This window comes from Homo sapiens, chromosome 15 (assembly GCF_000001405.40).
Source record: "Homo sapiens chromosome 15, GRCh38.p14 Primary Assembly".
Lineage (NCBI taxonomy): Eukaryota > Metazoa > Chordata > Mammalia > Primates > Hominidae > Homo > Homo sapiens.
Window position 1 is genome coordinate 72,649,731 of NC_000015.10, and position 20,035 is coordinate 72,669,765.

The 20,035-nt window shown below is 47.0% G+C and overlaps 1 protein-coding gene and 1 pseudogene across 1 annotated transcript, besides 3 other annotated features; both read left to right on the top strand.

The window, feature by feature from the left end:
• Nucleotides 526-1,043: an enhancer, noted in NCBI's record as "OCT4-NANOG-H3K27ac hESC enhancer chr15:72942597-72943114 (GRCh37/hg19 assembly coordinates)". NCBI's record gives its function as "activates a minimal SCP1, AML or CMV promoter by ChIP-STARR-seq in primed H9 embryonic stem cells {active_cell/tissue: H9 hESC(primed)}" and the evidence as "EXISTENCE:reporter gene assay evidence [ECO:0000049][PMID:30033119]".
• GOLGA6B (golgin A6 family member B) lies at nucleotides 4,967-19,869 on the top strand. Its single transcript, NM_018652.5, has 18 exons — nucleotides 4,967-5,091; nucleotides 6,782-6,901; nucleotides 8,828-8,908; nucleotides 9,764-9,802; nucleotides 10,064-10,114; nucleotides 10,215-10,296; nucleotides 10,393-10,499; nucleotides 11,534-11,620; nucleotides 11,729-11,836; nucleotides 12,029-12,116; nucleotides 12,522-13,030; nucleotides 13,307-13,375; nucleotides 14,706-14,781; nucleotides 15,214-15,305; nucleotides 15,866-15,968; nucleotides 16,052-16,155; nucleotides 16,245-16,398; nucleotides 16,485-19,869. Exons 1-18 carry the CDS (start codon nucleotides 5,008-5,010, stop codon nucleotides 16,610-16,612), a joined length of 2,082 nt encoding a protein of 693 aa, NP_061122.4. The 5' UTR covers nucleotides 4,967-5,007; the 3' UTR covers nucleotides 16,613-19,869.
• Nucleotides 12,544-13,045: an enhancer, noted in NCBI's record as "H3K27ac hESC enhancer chr15:72954615-72955116 (GRCh37/hg19 assembly coordinates)". NCBI's record gives its function as "activates a minimal SCP1, AML or CMV promoter by ChIP-STARR-seq in primed H9 embryonic stem cells {active_cell/tissue: H9 hESC(primed)}" and the evidence as "EXISTENCE:reporter gene assay evidence [ECO:0000049][PMID:30033119]".
• Nucleotides 13,046-13,545: an enhancer, noted in NCBI's record as "H3K27ac hESC enhancer chr15:72955117-72955616 (GRCh37/hg19 assembly coordinates)". NCBI's record gives its function as "activates a minimal SCP1, AML or CMV promoter by ChIP-STARR-seq in primed H9 embryonic stem cells {active_cell/tissue: H9 hESC(primed)}" and the evidence as "EXISTENCE:reporter gene assay evidence [ECO:0000049][PMID:30033119]".
• On the top strand, nucleotides 14,847-15,069 carry RN7SL853P (RNA, 7SL, cytoplasmic 853, pseudogene; annotated as a pseudogene).
• Nucleotides 19,870-20,035: the final 166 nt, after the last annotated feature.

A 20,035-nucleotide genomic window follows, 5' to 3' on the forward strand; every position in this document is an offset into this window, starting at 1 on the left:
AAGGTCGAGACAGTGTGTATTACTGATTCAAAATCATAACCTGATGCTTAGAGTAAATCATTGTATCTATTGTTTCAAAAACCAACGTCAGGATTATTAAAAGTTAATTTTATTGGGTTTTTCTTTAAGCTTGGCTGATTCACTCAGGTCTGTCACTTCCAAGCCCATGTTTTACTACTTTGTAACCCTATTTGGAAGGAAAGCTGCAGCTCACATTATGATCCATCCTGAGATGAAGAGTTTCACACATATACACCACATATACCCCCCACCACAGTATGACGACACAGCAACCCAACCTTGGGCAAATGGTACCACTGCCAGCAAATTTTTTTCTTTATTTTAAATATTTTTACTGTATTTCTTCTAACAGCAGCAAATGCATTTAACACTTTATTGAGATTCTCAACAGCTGCCATTTGGTTTGTATAGCAAATTGTTTACAAAGTAACTTTTTTCCATTTTTGATATTTTAATGAAAATTATGTTCTTCAGTTTTAAAGCTCTGTCCCTCTCCCAAAGAAAGGTTAATAACTAACTACCAAGTAATGATTATTTGGGAAAAGAAGAAAAGCAAAACCAGCTTGTAAACACTTCTGGAACGTGGGTAAGGGGCCAAAGTCAAGACCTTCTGGGCCCAGTGCAGGTGCTAGGCTTGCCTCGGGACACCATCAGCACTTCCCCATCCACAACATCCTCAACAGCTGGGAGCCATGTGCAGACCCCAGGGGGCTTCCTGTTCCACAAGCTCCCCTCTCTTTTTCCTCTCCACCCTTGCTGTTGGGCCTCCCTTCCAAATCTGCCTAACAAAGGCAGCAGGATCTTTAATACTGTTCAGCTTTGTCAATGGAGACAGGATACTCTAGAAAGTTGAGAGATTCCCTGGTCCAGTCTGGGGGAGGAAAAAATATGCAGTGTAGCATAGATGGTTTTACTTGTCCACTCAGACACATGCTCATACTTATTAGATGGATGTATCAGATGCTTCAAAAGTCCTGATGTGTAGTAGCACAAAAGCTGCTTGTAAAAAGGAAGTTGCAAAATGATAAAAATTTCTGCAGCAGTTCAGGCTCCTGATGACAAAGCTGGTTCTGATAAGTAGTTCTTTTGACATGCACAGCAGCTTTCACTGTTAAGTCCTGTGTTCCAGCGGTTTCATTTAGACCATAGGAAGTTGAAAGCAAAGTTTAAATGTTCTCTGCTGACAAAATGTGGTATATATCCATCAATGGACTTCTACTCAGTAATGAAAGGAACAAACTACCAAAACCTGTTATATGTCATGGACCAACCTCAAAAACCTTAGCTAAGTAAAAAGCCAGACATGTGACCACATATTGTATAATTCTGTTGATTTGAAATGTCCAAAAAAGGCAAGTTGATAGAGACAGAAATGGTCTGATTTACCTCAAGAAGTAGGGATTCAAGCTCTTAGGGTACATGTGATACATACATTAGAAGAAATAAGGAAAAGAAAAGAAATTTATATGTAAATAAATGAAAATAATACTTCTCCCTGATTATAAAGAAAATTGCATTCTTTTTGTAATAATTTGGAAGACAAAATATGAAGAAAAGTCTTTAATTTTGCCACTGAAAGCATTCTGGTTTGTTGCTTTTTATATTTTTTTATGCATATGAACATTTTAAAAAGTAGAATCGTAATATATAGTCTTTTGTCACTATGTTTTGGGCATATTTCTATGGCAGTAAATATATCCTTGGCATCATCTTTTTAAAAGCTCGATGTGTATTAAGTTAATCATTGCCACCCCAGAAGTAAATTTTCTTATATATATATTTTAATGGACGCAAGCAAGCATTTTGGGGCTGAAGTCATAGAAGTAGAATTTCTGGAGAAAAATAACATAAAATAGTTTTAAGATTTTTAATAGAAATTTTCAAATTATCCTGCAGAAAAATTGGTTCAGTTTATACTCCCAACAGGGGCAGAGCTCCAGTATCCCGTTTCCATTTGTCCTCTTTGCTGATATTTAAGGAGAAAATCTCATTGTTTTCATTGTATTTCTTTGGTTTCTAGTGCTTTTGAAACTTTTTTTTTTTTTTGAGATGGAGTCTTGCTCTATGGCCCAGGCTGGTGTGCAACAGTGCAATCTCGGATAACTGCAACCTCTGCCTCCTGGGTTCAAGCGATTCTCCTGCCTCAGCTTCCCGAGTAGCTGGGATTACAGGTGCCCACCGCCATGCCTGGCTAATTTTTGTATTTTTTAGTAGAGATGGGATTTCACCATGTTGGTCAGGCCCGTCTCAAACTCTTGACCTCAGGTGATCCACCCACCTCGGCCTCCTAAAGTGCTGGGATTACAGGCGTGAGCCACGGCCCTGGCCTTGAATCATTTTTATGTGCTTATTGGCCATTTTTATTCTTGTGGGAAGTGCCTGTTTCTCCATTGCCTATTTTCTGGCCAAGCTCCCAAGTCACATTTCACTTAATTTTTATCCTGCTGATTGAAAGCATTTTAACATAAACAGGAGCAGGACAGACTGTAATTATCTAGATCTTGCTCTGTCACCCAGGCTGGAGTGCAGTGGCATGATCATAGCTACCACAGCGTCGTACTCCTGAGCTGAAGCAGTTTTCATACATCAGCCTTCCAAGTAGCTAGGACTACAGGTGTGTGCCACCACCCCCAGCTAATTTTTAAGATTTTTTGTAGAGATGCGAATTCACTATGCTGCCCAGGCTGGTCTTGAACTCCTGACTTAAAGTGATCCTCCCACCTTGGCTTGCCAAAGTGTTGGGATTACAGGTGTGAACTACTGCTCCTGGCCGAGGGCTCATTTTGTTTGCTAGTGGTGATATTGGTATCTGTTTATATTTGAGGCTTTGGTGCTAGTGCTGATGTATTACACTCACCATCCGAGGTTTGCAGGACTTTTGTTTTAATATTGAATAGATGGAACTGTTTACTTCTGCATCTTTGCAGGCATACAAAATGTGCCTACCAGGACTCTGCTTTATATCTATCGAAAGCAAGAAGTAATACAGTAAAACTTTGCCTGGCTAGAGGCTTTGGAAGAATGGAGTATTCTGATTTAATGCTATTGAAGTGTGAAGGTGAAAAGAATGAAAAACTTACATTTCCTGTTGAATGCAACTTGAAAATACAGCCAGTGATTCCACTTTTCTTCTCTAGTAAGTTTGGACATTCTGATCTACTTGGTGTTTTATTATAGAACTGCTAGTGTGCCCGAGACTTACATTGTGAAGACACTTTTTAAAAAACTTGAGAGGTAAGAGGGTGTAAATGGTATTGTGTGAGATCAGGCTGGATGAGAACTGACACTTGTAAACATACTTTTTAGGCTGAATCTCTGATTGCCGTTTGTTTTCTTATTTAACTCATAAAAATAAAACACATTGGATGGAGGGTGGGAGCAGGAAGGAGATTTATGTCTTTTAATTGCATGCCATTGTTTCATATCAAGACAGAACATATGGTATCCCTGGCTTTGGACCTACAGAAGGAAACACATTTTTCTGCCTGCTGTATGCCAGAGGTTCTTGAACACCTGGAGGGATGACTGCAGCACAGATTGCTGAGCCCTACTCCAGAGTTTCTGATTCACCATGTCCAGGGTGGGGCCTGAGAATTTGCACTTACAAAAGGTTCTCAGGTTCTGCTGCTGCTGCTAGTCCAGAGACTACATTTTTGAGAACCACTCTTGTCTACTAACTGTAAATTGTAGAACTCTAGAACAAAGCTTAGTTTGGTGTAGGAAAAGAAGCTCACAGGTTATGGAGCAAATCATGAAAGATTCAACCCTTGATCCCAGCCTAGTGTGGAATTCAGGTAACAATCAATACACAGTGACATAACACAATTCTTGGTTTTCATGATTGCAAGTCATAGCCAAGTATCAAGTGAGAAATTCAGTTTCATTTGCAAGGCTTAGAGAGGCCAGGTGATTCTAGAAAAATAGGCCTTGTATTTGCTTTAAACCAGTAAAGAGCTTTGAGTGCTTATTAAATGGAAAGCTTTGTGTTTTTATTTATTTTTGACTATTTTATTTTATTTTTTTGAGATGGAGTCTCAGTCTGTCACCCAGGCTGGAGTGCAGTGGCGTGACCTTGGCTCACTGCAACTTCCGCCTCCCGGGTTCAAGTGATTCTCCTGCCTCAGCCTCCCCAGTAGCTGGGATTACGGGTACCCACCACCACACCTGGCTAGTTTTTGTATTTCGAGTAGAGACAGGGTTTCACCATGTTGGCCAGGCTGGTCTTGAACTCCTGACCTAAGGTGATCCACCCACCTAGGCCTCCCAAAGTGCTGGGATTACAGGTGTGAGCCACCACACCCGGCCCAAAAGCTTTGTGTTTTTAAAGATATTAGACATGTTTCTTGTTTTTTAAAAAATCTTAATAATGTAGGAGAATAAGAGAAATGTTTTTTCCAAAGCCGAGAAATCATTGTGATTATTTTACCTTATTGGGATGTTGGATAATATAGTCCACTTCATTCATTAATCATCAAACATGCTATGGATTTTCCATTTTTATAGGATTTGTGTCTTAACTGGGGTAATACTGGTAATTCTTATACTCCCTCTGAAGATGAAAAATGTAGGCCAAAATCATAGACCATGCATAGAAGCTGGATAATGAAGACAGCTCTGGAGGAACATGTAGACACACACACACTGACACACATATATATAAAGTATAAATACATATTTTTTTAAAGTTTATTTTTAACATTTTAAAGCAAAAACCAGCCCTCCCCTCTCCCGGAGTAGGCAGGCCCCGCCCCTCTCCCCAAGTGGGCAGGGACAGCAGTCGCATGGGCAGCTTTCCTTGTGATGTCACAGGTTCCTCTGGGCACACTGCTGCCTGGCCACGCCTCCTTTCCCTTTCATCTTTCTCATTGACCAATGGGATTGGAGCATTAAGGCCACACCCCTATTCTGCATTCTAGTGTGGCCCTGGTTACGCCTCCTCTGGCTCAGTCACACAGCAGCCTTGTAGGTGACTGGAGGTGTTCGCTGATGTGGCCCCAACCCTACCTCCCTCCCCACCCCATGATGTTAGAAGAATCTCGACAGAATAAATTGGCAGCAGCCAAGAAAAAGGTAAAAAGCCAAGAAAAAGGTCATGGCCCCCCAACCTAGCCAGAGATCCCCTCTGATGACAAGACCACTCCCAGAGTCCATACCACTCCTGAGGCACACCGGGCTGGGCCCCCCTACCCCGGCGCCTCTGGACTCCCCCCACCAACGTCTTGTCAGTCAGCCCCGCCCCTTCAGCAAGCAGCCCAGCCTCTGCCCTCGCCAATCACCCTGCGGTGACTTTGGGCGGATGACTACTGGGGATACCTGCTCCATATTCAGCCCTCACGTCCTGCCACCCCAAGCCCAACCTCCCTGGGTTCTTTGGGCTCACCTCTCCAAGGACCTGGGTCCCCCAGCCCCAACCCCCCAGCATCGCCAGTCATCCCGGGGTGACTTTGGGCTGGTGACTCCTGGGGTTCCCTGAGCAGACTCTGCTCTCCCCTCCTGCTGACCCAAGCCCGACCTCCCTGGGCTCTCTGGACTGGCATCTCCAAGGACCTGGGTCCCAGCCCCACGTCCCCCCTCCCCCATCGTGGATCGGCAACTCAGCCATTGCACTGATGAGGTTTCCCCCACCCCCAGGAGGAGTGGAATGTAGTGATGTCACAGTCCTCCTAGGAACTGTCATTACTGCTGCAAGACCGGCCTTTGATCTTATAACCCAGTCCCCTAAGCATTCTCACCCCATTTCTGGTTCCTCTGGTCACAGCACAAATTTCCAGCTAGAAGGGAAATGGGGACCATGGGACCTAGGAGCAAGAGGTTTCAGGCTGCCTTACTCCCTTCACATAGACATCGACAGTGTGAAAAGCCTACACTTCCCCTGTGAGCTCAAAACGTTGACAGTATCTCTGGGTGGTAATGGGAGAATGGGTTTGGTTTGGTTTTCTCCCAGGCTTCTACTCTCCAGAGAGACTTTAACATTTTTTTCCGAGTTCTCCACCTCATATTCTAATTCTCCACGGTTCTGGGACCAGACTGCCCTTCAGTCAGTGGTCTCTGAAGTGAGATTTGCTCATCTTCTGTGGAATAGGTCTTGGGAAACTGAACTTGACAGCTTGAATCTTCCTCATATCATCTCAACTTAGGGTACATTGAGTGCCACAGGATAAATGTGGGAGATCTTTCTGAAGCATCAGTTTCCCTTGAGTCTCTTGAGAGAGAAAAAACATTAATGTACTTAGGGGTGACCCTCACATAGGTTTCTAAGAGTATACCAGACTTCTCTCTGAAATGAGACTTGGGTTGTCCTCTTTCTGATAAATTCCCAGATTTAACAAAAAAGCTGCCTTCTGCCATGAGGACACATTGATATAAAAGTTTGAGAGATACTGGTGCACTTCTTCACACTAACAGACATTTGAGGATGTATGACTCTAAACCACACAGCGTGTAGTTCATGCCTATGTAATGTTTACTTTTCTACCTCTGCGTCTGGTTTTGGTCCCCGGCAGCTGCTGATTCATGGCAAAACCCCAGAGCTTGGAGTCAGAAGACTGAGTTTAAGTTCCATTATTGCCCCCCCACACTTTTTTTTTTAGCCATAATATCCATCCCTCTCAGTCACTTAAGTGATTGTGACAACACCTTGTACAGTTGTTGGTGGCATTAAATCAGATGGTGTATAAGAGTATTTTGCAAAAACTGTAAGGAGGGTGTGGCTGTAAGGGCTGGTAGTTCTCATGAGTATTACTGCTCTTCTTTCCCACAGCTAAAAGAATATCAGCAAAGGAAGAGCCCTGGTATTCCAGCAGGAGCAAAGACAAAAAAGAAAAAAACTGACAGTAGCCCTGAGACAACCACTTCCGGTGGTGGCCACTCACCTGGGGATGTGAGTCTTGGCTGGCCAGGCTCCTGGGGACAGGGGGCCCAAGGGGCAGTAGAGGGTAATTGTTGAGATTGCTGGGTACTGGTTAAGAATTCTGGGTTTGAATCCTGCTTCTTCATCTGCTAGCGATCTGATTTATGGCAAGTTGCTTGAGCTCTTTGGGCCTCTCTTTTCACATCTGTAAAATAGGGGTAGTATTGTTTGACTTCCATTTGTGAAGTTTAAATGAGATTCCTTATTGTTGTTGTTTTCATGTTAACCCCTAGTACGTGGCCTGCTGTAAACACCCGGGATACCCAGGAAATGGTCATTGCTGTTTGATTTTCCTGATCCCCACTCGCAAGGGGAAGCTGGGCTAATGAGTACAGCCACTTGCCATCAGGCTGTCCCTCTAGGAGTCACTGAAGGGGGCCCAGGGTGTGGTGAGGAGAGCCCAAGGCACTAGGAGCAAGAGAAGGTCTAACTTGCCACCAGCTTGCTGGGTGACCACAGAAAAATCACTTCTTCTGCTGGGCCTCAGTTTCCTCCTCTGTAAGATGATACTGGATAAGATCAGTGTCTTTCAAACTTGTTTTTTAGCTGAAGTCCCCTTAGTTCAAGTGAACTCTTACTCAGGAGTCTGTTTTTTTTTAATGGAGGTGGAGGTCTGGAGCTCTACCAGATTCATCGCCCATGTCCTGGGCCTGAGGAGAGGGGTCCAGTGAGCGTATTAAGATCTGCATTGGTCAGCTGACTCCACTCTGTGACTGCGTCACTCGGGGGACTTTTCCATCTATTTTTTTCCTGCCCCTGGCAAGGCAGCAGGTGGCCATTTGGAAGAATGGCACAGGCCATGGTTTTAATCTCCTCTGCTCTTCTTCAGCGTTTCCTTTTCCTGAACCCACATCTTCCTCCTACCCTGACTTTCTTGCTTCTCTCTAAGCCACTTCTGTCTTTCACCCCCTGCCCTTGTTTTTCCCTTGTCACCTCCTGTAGATTCAGGACATTCTGAAGGTGCGGGTGTCCAACCTTAACCACTCCAATGGGGTAGTGCTCCCCCATTGGACAAGTGGAAGGTGAGGCAGTGCCAAGACCCCTCTCTGGCTTGCTGTCTACAGCTGTGCATGGCCCTGAGGCTTCTCTGGCTTGGGGGATGCTTGGCCTCTGCCTTGTTTTATGTTGCTGCCATTAACCTTCAGCCTGTTTCTGTCTGCTTCTTCACCTGCTTGATTGATTGGGTTTTTTCCTTCCCCGCGTCTTTTATTATCTTGGAAATGGTGACGCCTAAAAGTTTAAAAGTAATCTGGGAATAACGTACAGAGCAGGCATGTGGGATTTGGGCTCTTTTTTTTTTTTTTTTTTTTTTTTTTTTTGAGACAGAGTCTCACTCTGTCACTCAGACTGGAGTGGAGTGGTGCGATCTCGGCTCACTACAACCTCTGCCTCCCGGGTTCAAGTGATTCTCTTGCCTTAGCCTCCTGAGTAGCTGGGATTACAGGCACCTGCCACTACGCCTGGCTACTCTTTGTATTTTTAGTAGAGATGCAGTTTCACCATGTCGGCCAGGCTGATCTTGATCTCCTGACCTCAAGTGATCCACTTGTCTCAGCCTCCTGAACTGCTGGGATTACATGTGTGAGCCACTGTGCCCGGCTCCTTGCTGTTTTTATACTTTCTCCATATACATAACTATTTCCCATGTAAGTTTTTTTTTAATTTCTCATTTTTATTACTCCTGCATCATCTGTTACCCTGAAGGATCTGGAAGTAAGAGGCCCTGGGCTGAGGTGCAGTGACTTTGCAGGCCAGCCCTCCAACCTCCTCTCACAGTGGGGGCTGGGTGACCCTCTGCCAGCTGAGACAGCCCACACACACCCCAGCCCTAATGATTGTTCTCTCTACCTCTCCCCACAATCCTCTTCCAACTCCTCCTCTCTGCATGTGCCTCAGAGCCAGTACCAAGAACTAGCAGTAGCCCTGGAGTCAAGCTCAGTGACAATCAGTCAACTCAATGAAAACATAGAATCATTGGTAAGTCCAGTGGGGTCCCCTGATTCCATGCTGCCAATCCTGGGCTTTAGTTTCCCCTTGGGGCCCTGAAGAAAGGGGCTGGGGGCCCCTGGTGCCAAGGGCAAATGGGGAGCTGGAGCACCCAGGCCTCACCTGGAGGGACCCCAGAGCAAGGAGCACGCAGCATGGCTCTTCTGTCACTGCCCTCTTTGCCGACTCTCTCTTCTCCAGACACCCCTGCTCCAGTCCTTGCCACACACGCCCTGAGGTTGTCACCTCTCAGGGAAGCGCTAGCCTGACTGGTTGTCAGGGGCCCTGTATTTCTGCCCTGACTCAGTCCCTAATTTGCTTTGAGTCTGGACAAGCCACCTGTCCTCCTTGGGCTTGTGTTTCTGGAGGAGGTAGAGCATCAGAGTTCTCTGTTAGCTCTGAGAGCCTGAGATTTAAAGGCCCCTAGAATGGAAACCTGAGGGCCAAGGGCTCCTGTCTGTCCTTTTCCATCCTATATCTGCTGTGAAGAACCGTAGCTGGCCCGTATGTGTTCAGTAAATGTTTGTTGAATGAAGGCACCTTTCTAAATCACAAGCTGGCAGAAGGGTGGGCCTTCCTGAGACTCCCTCTCTAGGGGTTTATGTTACTGTCCTTTCAAGAGAATCCAGATTCAGACTTCGAGTTCTGTGGCTGTGGGCAAAAACCAACAAAGACCCAAGTCCTCTGTCCTTGGGAGCTTGAAGAGGGTTGACCAGTTTGTGTTGCCATTGGTTCTGAGAATGTTGCCTTTAAAATCCATTCCTGGACCCTGCCTACCGCTTCCAGGTCTGGGGAATAGAGTTGAGGGGGCCACTCTCAGTCACCTGAATTTGACTCTCCCCACAGAAACAGCAGAAGAAACAAGTGGAACATCAGCTGGAAGAAGTAACGTGATTTCTTTGCTCACAACATGACTGCTGGGTTTGGGGGACACTCAGATGCAGAGGCGCCAGTCTCATCTTGCCCACTCCCAGCCTGGGGAAGAAGGCTCACCCATCAGATTCCACCCCATCCCCACAGGGTCCCTGATAACCTGGTCCCATGGGTGGGCCTGTCCTGGGGCATTGGTGGCATTCTGGGGGCATGTCTCTTGCTGTGCCATCTCTGCCTCCCTGTGATAAGAGCTCTGTCTTCCTCTTCCTACAGGCAAAGAAAACAAACAATGAAATACACAAAGCACAAATGGAGCGGTTAGAGGTGAGTGGAGGGTGGGGAGCTTTCTCCTGTCCTCTGGAGAATGTTTCTTTCCTTCTCTTTCAGCATTTCCTTGGCTTTTCTCCCAAACGTTCAATTCCAGACAATCAACATCCTCACATTGGAAAAGGCAGACTTGAAGACCACCCTTTACCATACTAAACGTGCTGCCCGACACTTCGAAGGTGGGAATCTGGGCATCCCGTCATCCTTCAACCTGGCACTTTGACAGGTCTTTAGGGGGAGTCTTTTGGGCCCCATCTCAACCTCTCTCATTACAGAAGAGTCCAAGGATCTGGCTGGCCGCCTGCAATACTCCTTACAGCGTATTCAAGAATTGGAGCGGGCTCTCTGTGCTGTGTCTACACAGCAGCAGGAAGAGGACAGGGTGAGTCCAACCAGCTGCCCCATCCCCTGGCAGCCTGGCTTCCCAGATAGAGGAGTGAGCCTAAAGGTCCCTTCTGCAGGATGGAGTGTCCTGCCCAGAAGGCAGCATGGTCATTTCTCACTACTTTTGTGTATGGTTGTTAGAGGCAGCCTGGGGCTGAGTCAGCTGCTGTGGGTGAGTTGGGGGGCACTGTGGGGAGTGAGCACTGGATGCAGAGCTCAGAGGCCAAGTGCCTGCCCTGCCCTTTCCTGGCTGTGGCCTTGGCCAAGTCCTAGGTGGGGTATTGGGTAGTTGTTCTGTGAAGGTACAGAAGAGCACCTTTAGTATGTTACCATTTCTGTAGAGAGAGGAAAGGGGTGTGTGTGTGTGTGTGTGTGTGTGTGTGTGTGTACTATGATAATATACAAAAACATGTCTGCAAGCATTCATAAAAAACTCAGGAGAGAGTAACAGGGTGCCTGGAGACACCTCCCTTCTGTACCTTCTGAGTTTTGGACTATATGAATGTATCATCCTTTCAAAAAGTGAACAAAAGATTAATTTCCCCCTTCCTATCTGTGTCCCCACCCCCAGCAAGAAAAATGGGCTTAGAGAATAGGATAGACCTGGGTGTTCAAATCCCAGCTCTGTCTAAGTGATCTTAGGCAATCACTTAACCTTGAACACTCGATGTTTTTCATCTACACAATAGAGGTAATCCTAGTAACTGTCTCATATGGTGGTTGTGAGGATTAAATGGGATCGCTAGCATGGAACCTGGTGAAGCACTCCATAACGGTTCAAACAGTGGTAGTAATAACAGTAATAACAATAGCAATATTATCTGATCTCTCTGGGCCTCTGTTAGCCAGCTGTAAATTCTATCTCTTTCCCTCTCCCTTCCAACTTTACTGAGTTCTTTTAATAACCAGGCCACGGGCTTGGAAATGCCTTGACCTTTACTGACCGAGTTGTATATTGAGCCTAGCCCTAGCCCTTTTAAGGGGCACTGCCTGAGCTCCCCAGATCAAAACTTCTCACTCTTCACCATCCAGTCCTCGAGCTGCAGAGAAGCGGTCCTCCACCGGCGGTTACAGCAGACCATAAAGGAGCGGGCGCTGCTGAACGCACACGTGACACAGGTGAGGCTTTGCAGAGGGAGGGATGTGGAAGGAAGATGACCCCAGGTGGCCAGGAGCAGGTGAGGACCAGTGACAGCCCTTCCTAACTTCTGTGCCCATTTCTTGCAGGTGACAGAGTCACTAAAACAAGTCCAGCTAGAGCGAGACGAATATGCTAAACACATAAAAGGAGAGAGGGCCCGGTGGCAGGAGAGGATGTGGAAAATGTCGGTGGAGGTGAGGTCTGACCCTTCAGCCCCCACTTTAGATAGGTCACTGGATCTTTCTGGGCATCTGTAAAATGGGAATAGTACAGCCAGAGGTGGTCATGGGTCTGGGCTTTGTGGAGATGGGGACAGAGAATGAGATGGTAGCCTGTCCAGCCACCAGCCCCTCTCTCCAGGGCCCTTTCCCCTGTGCTTTGGGCAGGCTCGAACATTGAAGGAAGAGAAGAAGCGTGACATACATCGGATACAGGAGCTGGAGAGGAGCTTGTCCGAACTCAAAAACCAGATGGGTAAGATGGGGCTGGTGTGACCTCGGAGCAGGACTGGCATCAGAGGTCTGTGGGGGTGGCTTAGAATGCCCCAGGGAGGTGGGTGGGTGGAAGGGCTTTGAGGCAGAGGGAAAGAGGTCTGTGCCAGGAGACGGCAAGTTTTGTCATCTCCATGAGCCTCAGGGTCCCCATCAGCAAAGAGGGAGGAGTGCCCGTTGTCAGCCACCCACAGTGCTCTCTATGTGAAAGTGGCTTGGAAATTGGCTACCATTGGGTGCGAGGAATGATTAGCAGTGAGGCCAAGTTTGGGAAGCCTGAGAGGAGCTGTGCATCAAGAGGAGGTTTTTTTTTTTTTTTTTTTTGAGGGGGATGTGGGTAGAGGGGTTGGGGAATCCAGAGGCCCTTATTGTCTGCTTCATTTCTCAGCTAAGCCCCCATCCCTGGCGCCCCCAGCAGTGACCTCTGTGGTGGAACAGCTACAAGATGAGGCCAAACACCTGAGGCAGGAGGTGGAAGGTCTGGAGGGAAAGCTCCAATCCCAGGTGGAAAACAATCAGGCCTTGAGTCTCCTTAGCAAGGAACAAAAGCAGAGACTCCAGGAGCAGGAGGAGATGCTCCGAGAGCAGGAGGTGCAGAGAGTGCGGGAGCAGGAGAGACTGTGTGAACAAAACGAGAGGCTTCGGGAGCAGCAGAAGACGCTACAGGAGCAGGGTGAGAGGCTGCGAAAGCAGGAGCAGAGGCTACGCAAACAGGAGGAGAGGCTGCGAAAGGAGGAGGAGAGGCTGCAAAAGCAGGAAAAGAGGCTGTGGGACCAGGAGGAGAGGCTGTGGAAGAAGGAGGAGAGGCTACAAAAGCAGGAGGAGAGGCTCGCGCTCTCCCAGAACCACAAGCTCGACAAGCAGCTGGCCGAGCCACAGTGCAGCTTCGAGGATCTGGTGGGTTGCCCCACCTGGGGAGCCTGCCCTCATCCCTATCCCTCCAGGCCTTTGTTTCCCCACCTGTAAAATGGGCCAGTGTAGCCCTCACATGAAATGGTACTTCTAAAGGCACCTGTGAGCTACAGCTCATCGGGCTCTGCTCTGATGGCTGTGGGGGAGAAGGGATGATTTTTCTAACCTGCCTCCACCCTTCCTGGTGATATGGGAGGCAGACACCAAGGTCTGGTGTCTCCAGCTGCAGTGGATGGCCACTGATTGCTTCTCTCTGTCCAGAACAACGAGAAAAAGAGCGCACTGCAGTTGGAGCAGCAAGTAAAGGAGCTGCAGGAGAAGCTAGACGAGGTGAAGGAGATGGTAACCTCCACCCCATCCAAGAAGGGCTGGGAGGCGGGCACCAGCCTCTGGGGAGGGGAGGTGCCAGGCCAAAGGCAGCTCCAGCTGGGAGGCAGGTGACCCCAGCACCCTCCAGTGCAGCTCTATGACTGTTTCTTGCTTCCTGCCCTCTGACTTTTAGAGGTGGGTAGCCCTGGGCTCCTCCCAGGTCTGGACATCATCATCCCAGCTAGAGACATGGAGCCCCCAATCATAGGGGAAGAGACAGTGGTACAAGAGGCTCCTTATCCAGGCACGGTGGCTCGCACCTGTAATCCCAGCACTTTGGGAGGCTGAGGCAGGAGAATCACTTGAGGTCAGGAGTTTGAGACCAGCCTGGCCAACGTGGCGAAACCTCACCCCTACTAAAATTACAACAACAACAACAAAAAATTAGCCAGGCATGGTGGCGCATGCCTGTAATCCCAGCTACTCAGGAGGCTGAGGCACGAGAATCGCTTGAGCCCACGTGGTGGAGGTTGCAGTGAGCTGAGATTGCACCACTGCACTCCAGCCTGGGCCACAGAGTGACACTGTCTCAAAACAAAACAAAAAAGCCTCCTTAGATTCAAACTGGATTCTGGCCTGGGTTCCACTGGTCACCATTCAACTACTGTTCATCTCTAAGTCTCTGTTTCTGTGACTTCAAAAGGAAGTTAGCATTTTCCTTGCAGAGGTGCTGAGGATTGAATGAGAGAATACCTGGAAAGCATTAGGCATGTAGCACACTTAGCAGATGGTGGTTGGCTCCCTCTGCTTTTCCGCCAGTCTGTGGCCTACAGTTTAAATGGTGGGAAGAAGGACATGAGATTTGAGGCTGGGGAAGGAGGTATGGGGTTCTAGGCAAGAGAGGAAGCCTCTTAGGCCTGGAGCAAGGGACCAGGGTCCTGGGCAGGTGACAGAGCCCCACGGTGCCCTCGCTACCCTATTAATGGGCCCAGAATCTGGAAGCCAGCCACCATGTGCCCTCATGCCCAGGGTCTTCCTGCAGGTGGAGCTGAAGAGCCAAGGGTCTCAGAGTCTGCAGCAGCAGCGAGACTAGTACCTGGGTCACCTGCAGCAGTACGTGGCCACCTATCAGCAGCTGACCTCTGAGAAGGAGGCGCTGCACAGGCAGTTACTGCTGCAGACCCAGCTCGTGGACCAGCTGCAGCAGCAGGAAGCTTGGGGCAAAGCGGTGGCTGAGATGGCCGGCCAAAAGTTGCAGGAGACCCAGGGGAGGCAGTTGCTGAGGACGGGGCCCCGAGGGGGATGACCTGGCAACCTCCGTGCCTTCTCACTCTGTTTCCCGTCCCCTTAGGAGCACCTAGAAGCTGCCAGCCAGCAGAACCAACAGCTAGAGACCCAGCTAAGCCTCGTGGCTCTCCCGGGAGAAGGTACAGGAGACCACTCAGAGGAAGAGGAGAGAGCCCCAGGAGGAAGGGGGGACTGTTAGCAGCATAGGATTGAGGGGTTGGAAGAGACCTTTAGAACAGCTGGTCGTTATGCCAACCGGGTGTCCGCACTAAGTTCAGCATCAATATGGTGACCTCCTGGGAGCAGGGGGCCACCAGGTTGCCTAAGGATGAATGAACTGGACCAGATCAGAAAGGGAGCAGGTCAGGACTCCCGCACCGACCGGTAGTGGGACTGTGCCTGGGCAATATAGCAAGATCTTGGTTCTTAAAAGGAAAAATAAAGAACAGCAGCTCACTCCCCTCTGGGGAGAGGCTGGCTCAGGGTTACACAGTCAGGGTGGGGACAGAGGTAGGCCCACAGGACCTTCCTTGTTGGGTTGTCTGAGGACCCCTCTGGCCACCTCCCTACAGGAGATGGAGGACAACATCTGGACAGTGAGGAGGAGGAGGCGCCTCGGCCCACGCCAAACATCCCAGAGGACCTGGAGAGCCGGGAGGCCACGGTGAGCCTGACTTTCCCTGCCCCGCTTTGCCACCTTCCTCTGTGGTCCCTCCCAGACCCCCTTATGCTCTTGGTTTCCCACCTTCTGATTGCTCTGGCCCCTCACCCCTTCCGGGAGCCAGTGGTCAGACACTTTGTCACCTGTGACCAACAGGTGCACTCTCTGAGGCCCCAAGGGAAGGGGTTGTTCTCCACCTCCCTGCCTCATTTGTTCTGTCTATGCCCCTACAAGAATACTCACCTCTTGCCTTCAAGTGGCATTTTTCACCTCTGCTGGAGCCAGTTCCCAGGAGGAGCAGGCACGGCTATGTGGGCAGCGGAAGGTGTGAAGGCTGTGCTGCCTGCACCTGGCTCATCTGTTGGCCTTGGCCTGGAAGGAGCCAGAGGCAGAGGCCCCAGCCCCAGGGAGTGGGGGTGAGTTTGTGTGTGGGGAGAGCTACCGGGCCCTGAAGGAGGCCATGGTGAAGCTGAAAGGGAGTGAGTCCTGGCATGGGCCAAGAAAAGTGGGGGCGGGGCAGAACAGGTCACTCCCGAGATGTGACCCCATTATTTTGGCTCCAGAGCAGCTTTATGGACCTCCCGAAGGAGAAGGCGGACGGGACGGAGCAGGTGGAGAGACGAGAGCTTGGATTCGTCCAGCCTTCTGGAGTGACAGACGGCATGAGTGAGCGGGAGGCCAGGGCACGGGCACGGGGAGCTGCAGGGCCGTCGGAGGGACCCTAGTGTCTGAGCTGTGTCCTCTCACAGGAGAGTCCTTCACCGTATATGAAAGCCAGGGGGCAGTGCCAAACACGCGGCACCAGGAGATGGAGGATGTCATCAGGCTGGCCCAGAAGGAGGAGGAGATGAAGGTAGGGCGTGCAACATCTCTGCGGGGGTGGGGGTGGGCATGGGCGCTGGTGCAGGCTCCAGGGTGGGAGCTGAGCACCCCTCCCTTCAGGTGAAGCTGCTGGAGCTGCAAGAGTTGGTGTTGCCCCTTGTGGGCAACCATGAGGGGCATGGCAAATTCCTCATCGCTGCCCAGAACCCTGCTGATGAGCCCACTCCAGGGGCCCCAGCCCCCCAGGAACTTGGGGCTGCCGGTGAGCAGGATGGTGAGTAGAGCTCTCAGGCGGGGTGGGCAGGCAGGGGCAGGGGAGGCTCGCACTGTGCTCAGACCCCCGCCTCCCTCTCTCTGAAGATTTTTATGAAGTGAGCCTGGACAACAACGTGGAGCCTGCACCAGGAGCGGCCAGGGAGGGTTCTCCCCATGACAACCCCACTGTACAGCAGATCGTGCAGCTGTCTCCTGTCATGCAGGACACCTAGGAGCACCCAGGCTTGCCCAGCAAACCCTGCGTGCCATTCTTCTACCAGGCAGCCGAGAACAGGGAGATAAACATCATCATCTTCTAAGAGCTGATCAAGAAATTTAAAACAACAACAACAACAAAAAGTTACGGGGTTCATCTCCTACACAATTCATTTACTCCATTTGAATGCTAGAGCCACTCACATTTATTTGTGTTTCTAATTTACCGTTTAAATTTATTTGTAAAAAGTTAAGGGAGAGTTGGTCTTTCCCTGATGTTCTTTCTGGCATCCTTTAGCATTTTTATTTTTAATTTGATAATTGTAGGTCATTAGTATGCATATCGAGTTTGCCCTTAGGTGGTGGGAATTCAAACACACAAAGACCCACTAATTTGCACAAAACTATTCTGGCTGGTTTGGAACAGGCTGCCATGCTTTTTTAATGTTATTGCAGCATGTATATTCATTCCAGAATTCAGATAAAATGTGCTTATGTTCTGCTATGACGTTTGATCGAATCCTAACCACAGTGAGCTCTTCATTAGCTCAATATGTGGTTTGCCCTCAATTGAGCACTGTTTATTACTTTGTAATATGCCACTGTGAGTACTGACATTTAGAGTTGTTTAAAGGCCAAGAACTGGAAACAGCCTTTTCCCTATTTTCTGTGTATTGGGGATGGGAGTAATAACATTTTGGGGAGCTTTTTAAATCTCACAGAAGAGGAAAGTGGCCTGCTCTGGCAGGTGTGTGCAGGATAGAGTGTGTTTCATTTGTTCTGGTGCCAAGAATGAGCGCTGTACTATGGTAGTTCCCTTAGGATTTGTATGTGCTCTGGGCTCATGAAGATATTGCATCATGAGCTGCAGCAGTTGTACCCTTTCTTGATGACCTAAAAAGGGATTATTTCTGAGGAATGAAAGGCTCCCATCATTGACTGTGGATGTGGAAAACCTTTTCTAGCTTAGAGCATTTATATCTACAATACATTTTAAAGTCAGAGTTCATGTTACCTGTTTTAATCACATGAGTATATGTCCCAGTACACAAAAGGGCACTGGTTGGCATTCTTCTTAAGGTATTTAGTGAAGATCATAAGAAATCCTTTAAGAGTTTAAATGTCCCTGGAAGAGGCATACAGGCTCTAGTCAAGAATGAATTCGAGTGAAGGAAAGCTGTGTGACACCTGGCCTTCCTCTATGTTCATGGAGCTTCTTTGAGGCTAGAAGATTGATTTTATCATCTAGACCTCTCTGGCTAATACCTATTCTTCAGCCACATTAGTTACTCTGACGTAGGAATTTACTTCTTTTCTTTGAATGGAAAACACTTTAAAAATAATAACAACCATTATTATAAACCAATATATGTGAGAGTACTTAGTTGAAACAAAAAGGAGTTTTAGTAGACAGTATTATACTACACATGAAAATCAAGGCGAAGTTTATGCAACTTAAAATGTTTACAAGCTGCAGTGCAATCTAATGTTTGCGAATGTCCAAGTATTATGAGAAAAAGTGTCTATACAATGACAGACTTACGTTTCCTCACAAAGTTCTTCACAAAGAGTGAAATATGTTTTTATACCTCTCAGTTTCAGTTAGAGGCATATTTTGTGCCATATTTATGTTAATGTGCCTATACGTGATGAGTGAATTATTTCAGTCATACATTGCCTAAATCATAACTTTAAGATGCTTGGGAAAGAATCAACAGCTAAAAGTTCATGAAGTTCTAATGTCTGTGTTCCAAAATACGTCACAGTATTAGGATGCAGGGAGAGATGTGTGTGCGCTCCCTGGGGTGGGCATTTCTAGTTACTAGACCATCTCCATTTTTAGCATTTGGCATCCTCATGATACTTTTATACATATGACGTTAATAGGAGAGCAATAATACGATTTTACAGATGGAATAACAGATGTGCCTGCATTCAGTGAAAGAGTGCAAATATTAAGTCCTTGTGACTTCAACTGACTCTTCCAAATTGTATGAATTTATCAATGTATTAGATAAACTCAGTTCCAGAATTATAAAGAAAAACTGTTAGACCAACGAATGTGGCTAATTAACAGTAGGACGATTTCTAGCCCGAGGGTTTAAAATGGACTTCAAGTCCTGTTCTTGCCTTTTATTTTCTGAACTTGCCACTTTTGCATTCTTTGAGTTCAGTTTAAAGACAGTTTGAGTCCAATTTAGACCCTCGGGCTAGAAATCATACCACTGTTAATTAGCCACCTTATTTGGTCTAACAGTTTTTCTTTATAATTCTGAAACTGGGTTTACCTAATACATTGATAAATTATTTCAAAGGTATTTTTATAGTTCAAATCACTTCACTTTTACCCTGATAAATATAAATGACTAGGAATGATCTTCAGCTAGCCTTTAGCACCTGCAACCAATCGGACAATAATGTGTTCATCAGGTACCTGTGGATTAAATCACACACCGGCATATTTAAGCTGAATGTCAGTCTGGAAAATGAATGTACTATATTAACTGAAATACCACTCTTTGTGTAGGTATTCTGTCATATATTTAAGAAAAATTAAATAGCATGTAAATCATATAACAACAACTTAAGTCTTTCTTCAAAGTGCATGTGGTCCTTTGCAATACCTCATTCAGCCAAGTATTTGTTCTCTTCCTCATTCAGTTTAAGGCAGCTTTCAATTTGCTTAGAAGGCAACATTAGAAGGGTAGAGTTTAATCAGAAACATAGAATTTTAAAGTGTGGGTTCAACTGAATAAATTTGAATTTCTGTAGGAAGTAAAGAATTAAAAATCTATTTAAAGATTGCAATATATAATCATTTTTAAAGTATTTGTTTAACCTGATGGGTTTTCCAGAAATGAAAACAAGTCAGTTCTAAAACCAAAGCTGATATTTAGAAAATGTGAAAATGTAAATCAGCCCTATCCATAATATAGTTTCTCTAAAACTTTATCTTAAAGAGTCATTTTAAAAGAATATAACTATTCATAAGTGTAACTGCTATCTTAATGTTTTGAAATAAGTTAAAACACTTTAAAATATGAATACTGTAGTTTGAAAGAAAGAAACTGGGGGAAGGAAAAGTAGAGAAAGAAATGCCAATTCCAATGCAAGGCTTTATTTGCCAAGTTTTCTTAGAATGACTTTTACCAGTTTATGAATTCTTGTAAACAGAATGTATAATAGAAATACTGAAACACTGTTGCCTAAAGTGGCATTGTTGACTGCTACTGTGATGCTACTGTAATGTAATAAATTATTAAATGGTTGCAAAGTGCTGTTTTTGCCTTAAAATTTTGTGTGTCTTGAAAACTATAGTATTACAGGTATTGAGACTGTGCAAATGCTGGGCACGCTTGGCATGAGATAATCAGTTTTTATTTTTACAAAATTGTAATTAACTATGCAAGTGTGTTTATTAAAAGAATACAAACTAAAAA

Excerpts from the sequence above, each read along its gene's own strand:
- GOLGA6B (NM_018652.5), top strand. The coding sequence starts at position 5,008 with ATGTGGCCCCAACCCTACCTCCCTCCCCACCCCATGATGTTAGAAGAA. Across the intron at positions 10,500-11,533 it reads AGCAGCAGGAAGAGGACAGG|TCCTCGAGCTGCAGAGAAGC; the intron begins GTGAGTCCAACC and ends TTCACCATCCAG. Across the intron at positions 13,376-14,705 it reads TGCAGGAGAAGCTAGACGAG|GAGCACCTAGAAGCTGCCAG; the intron begins GTGAAGGAGATG and ends CCGTCCCCTTAG.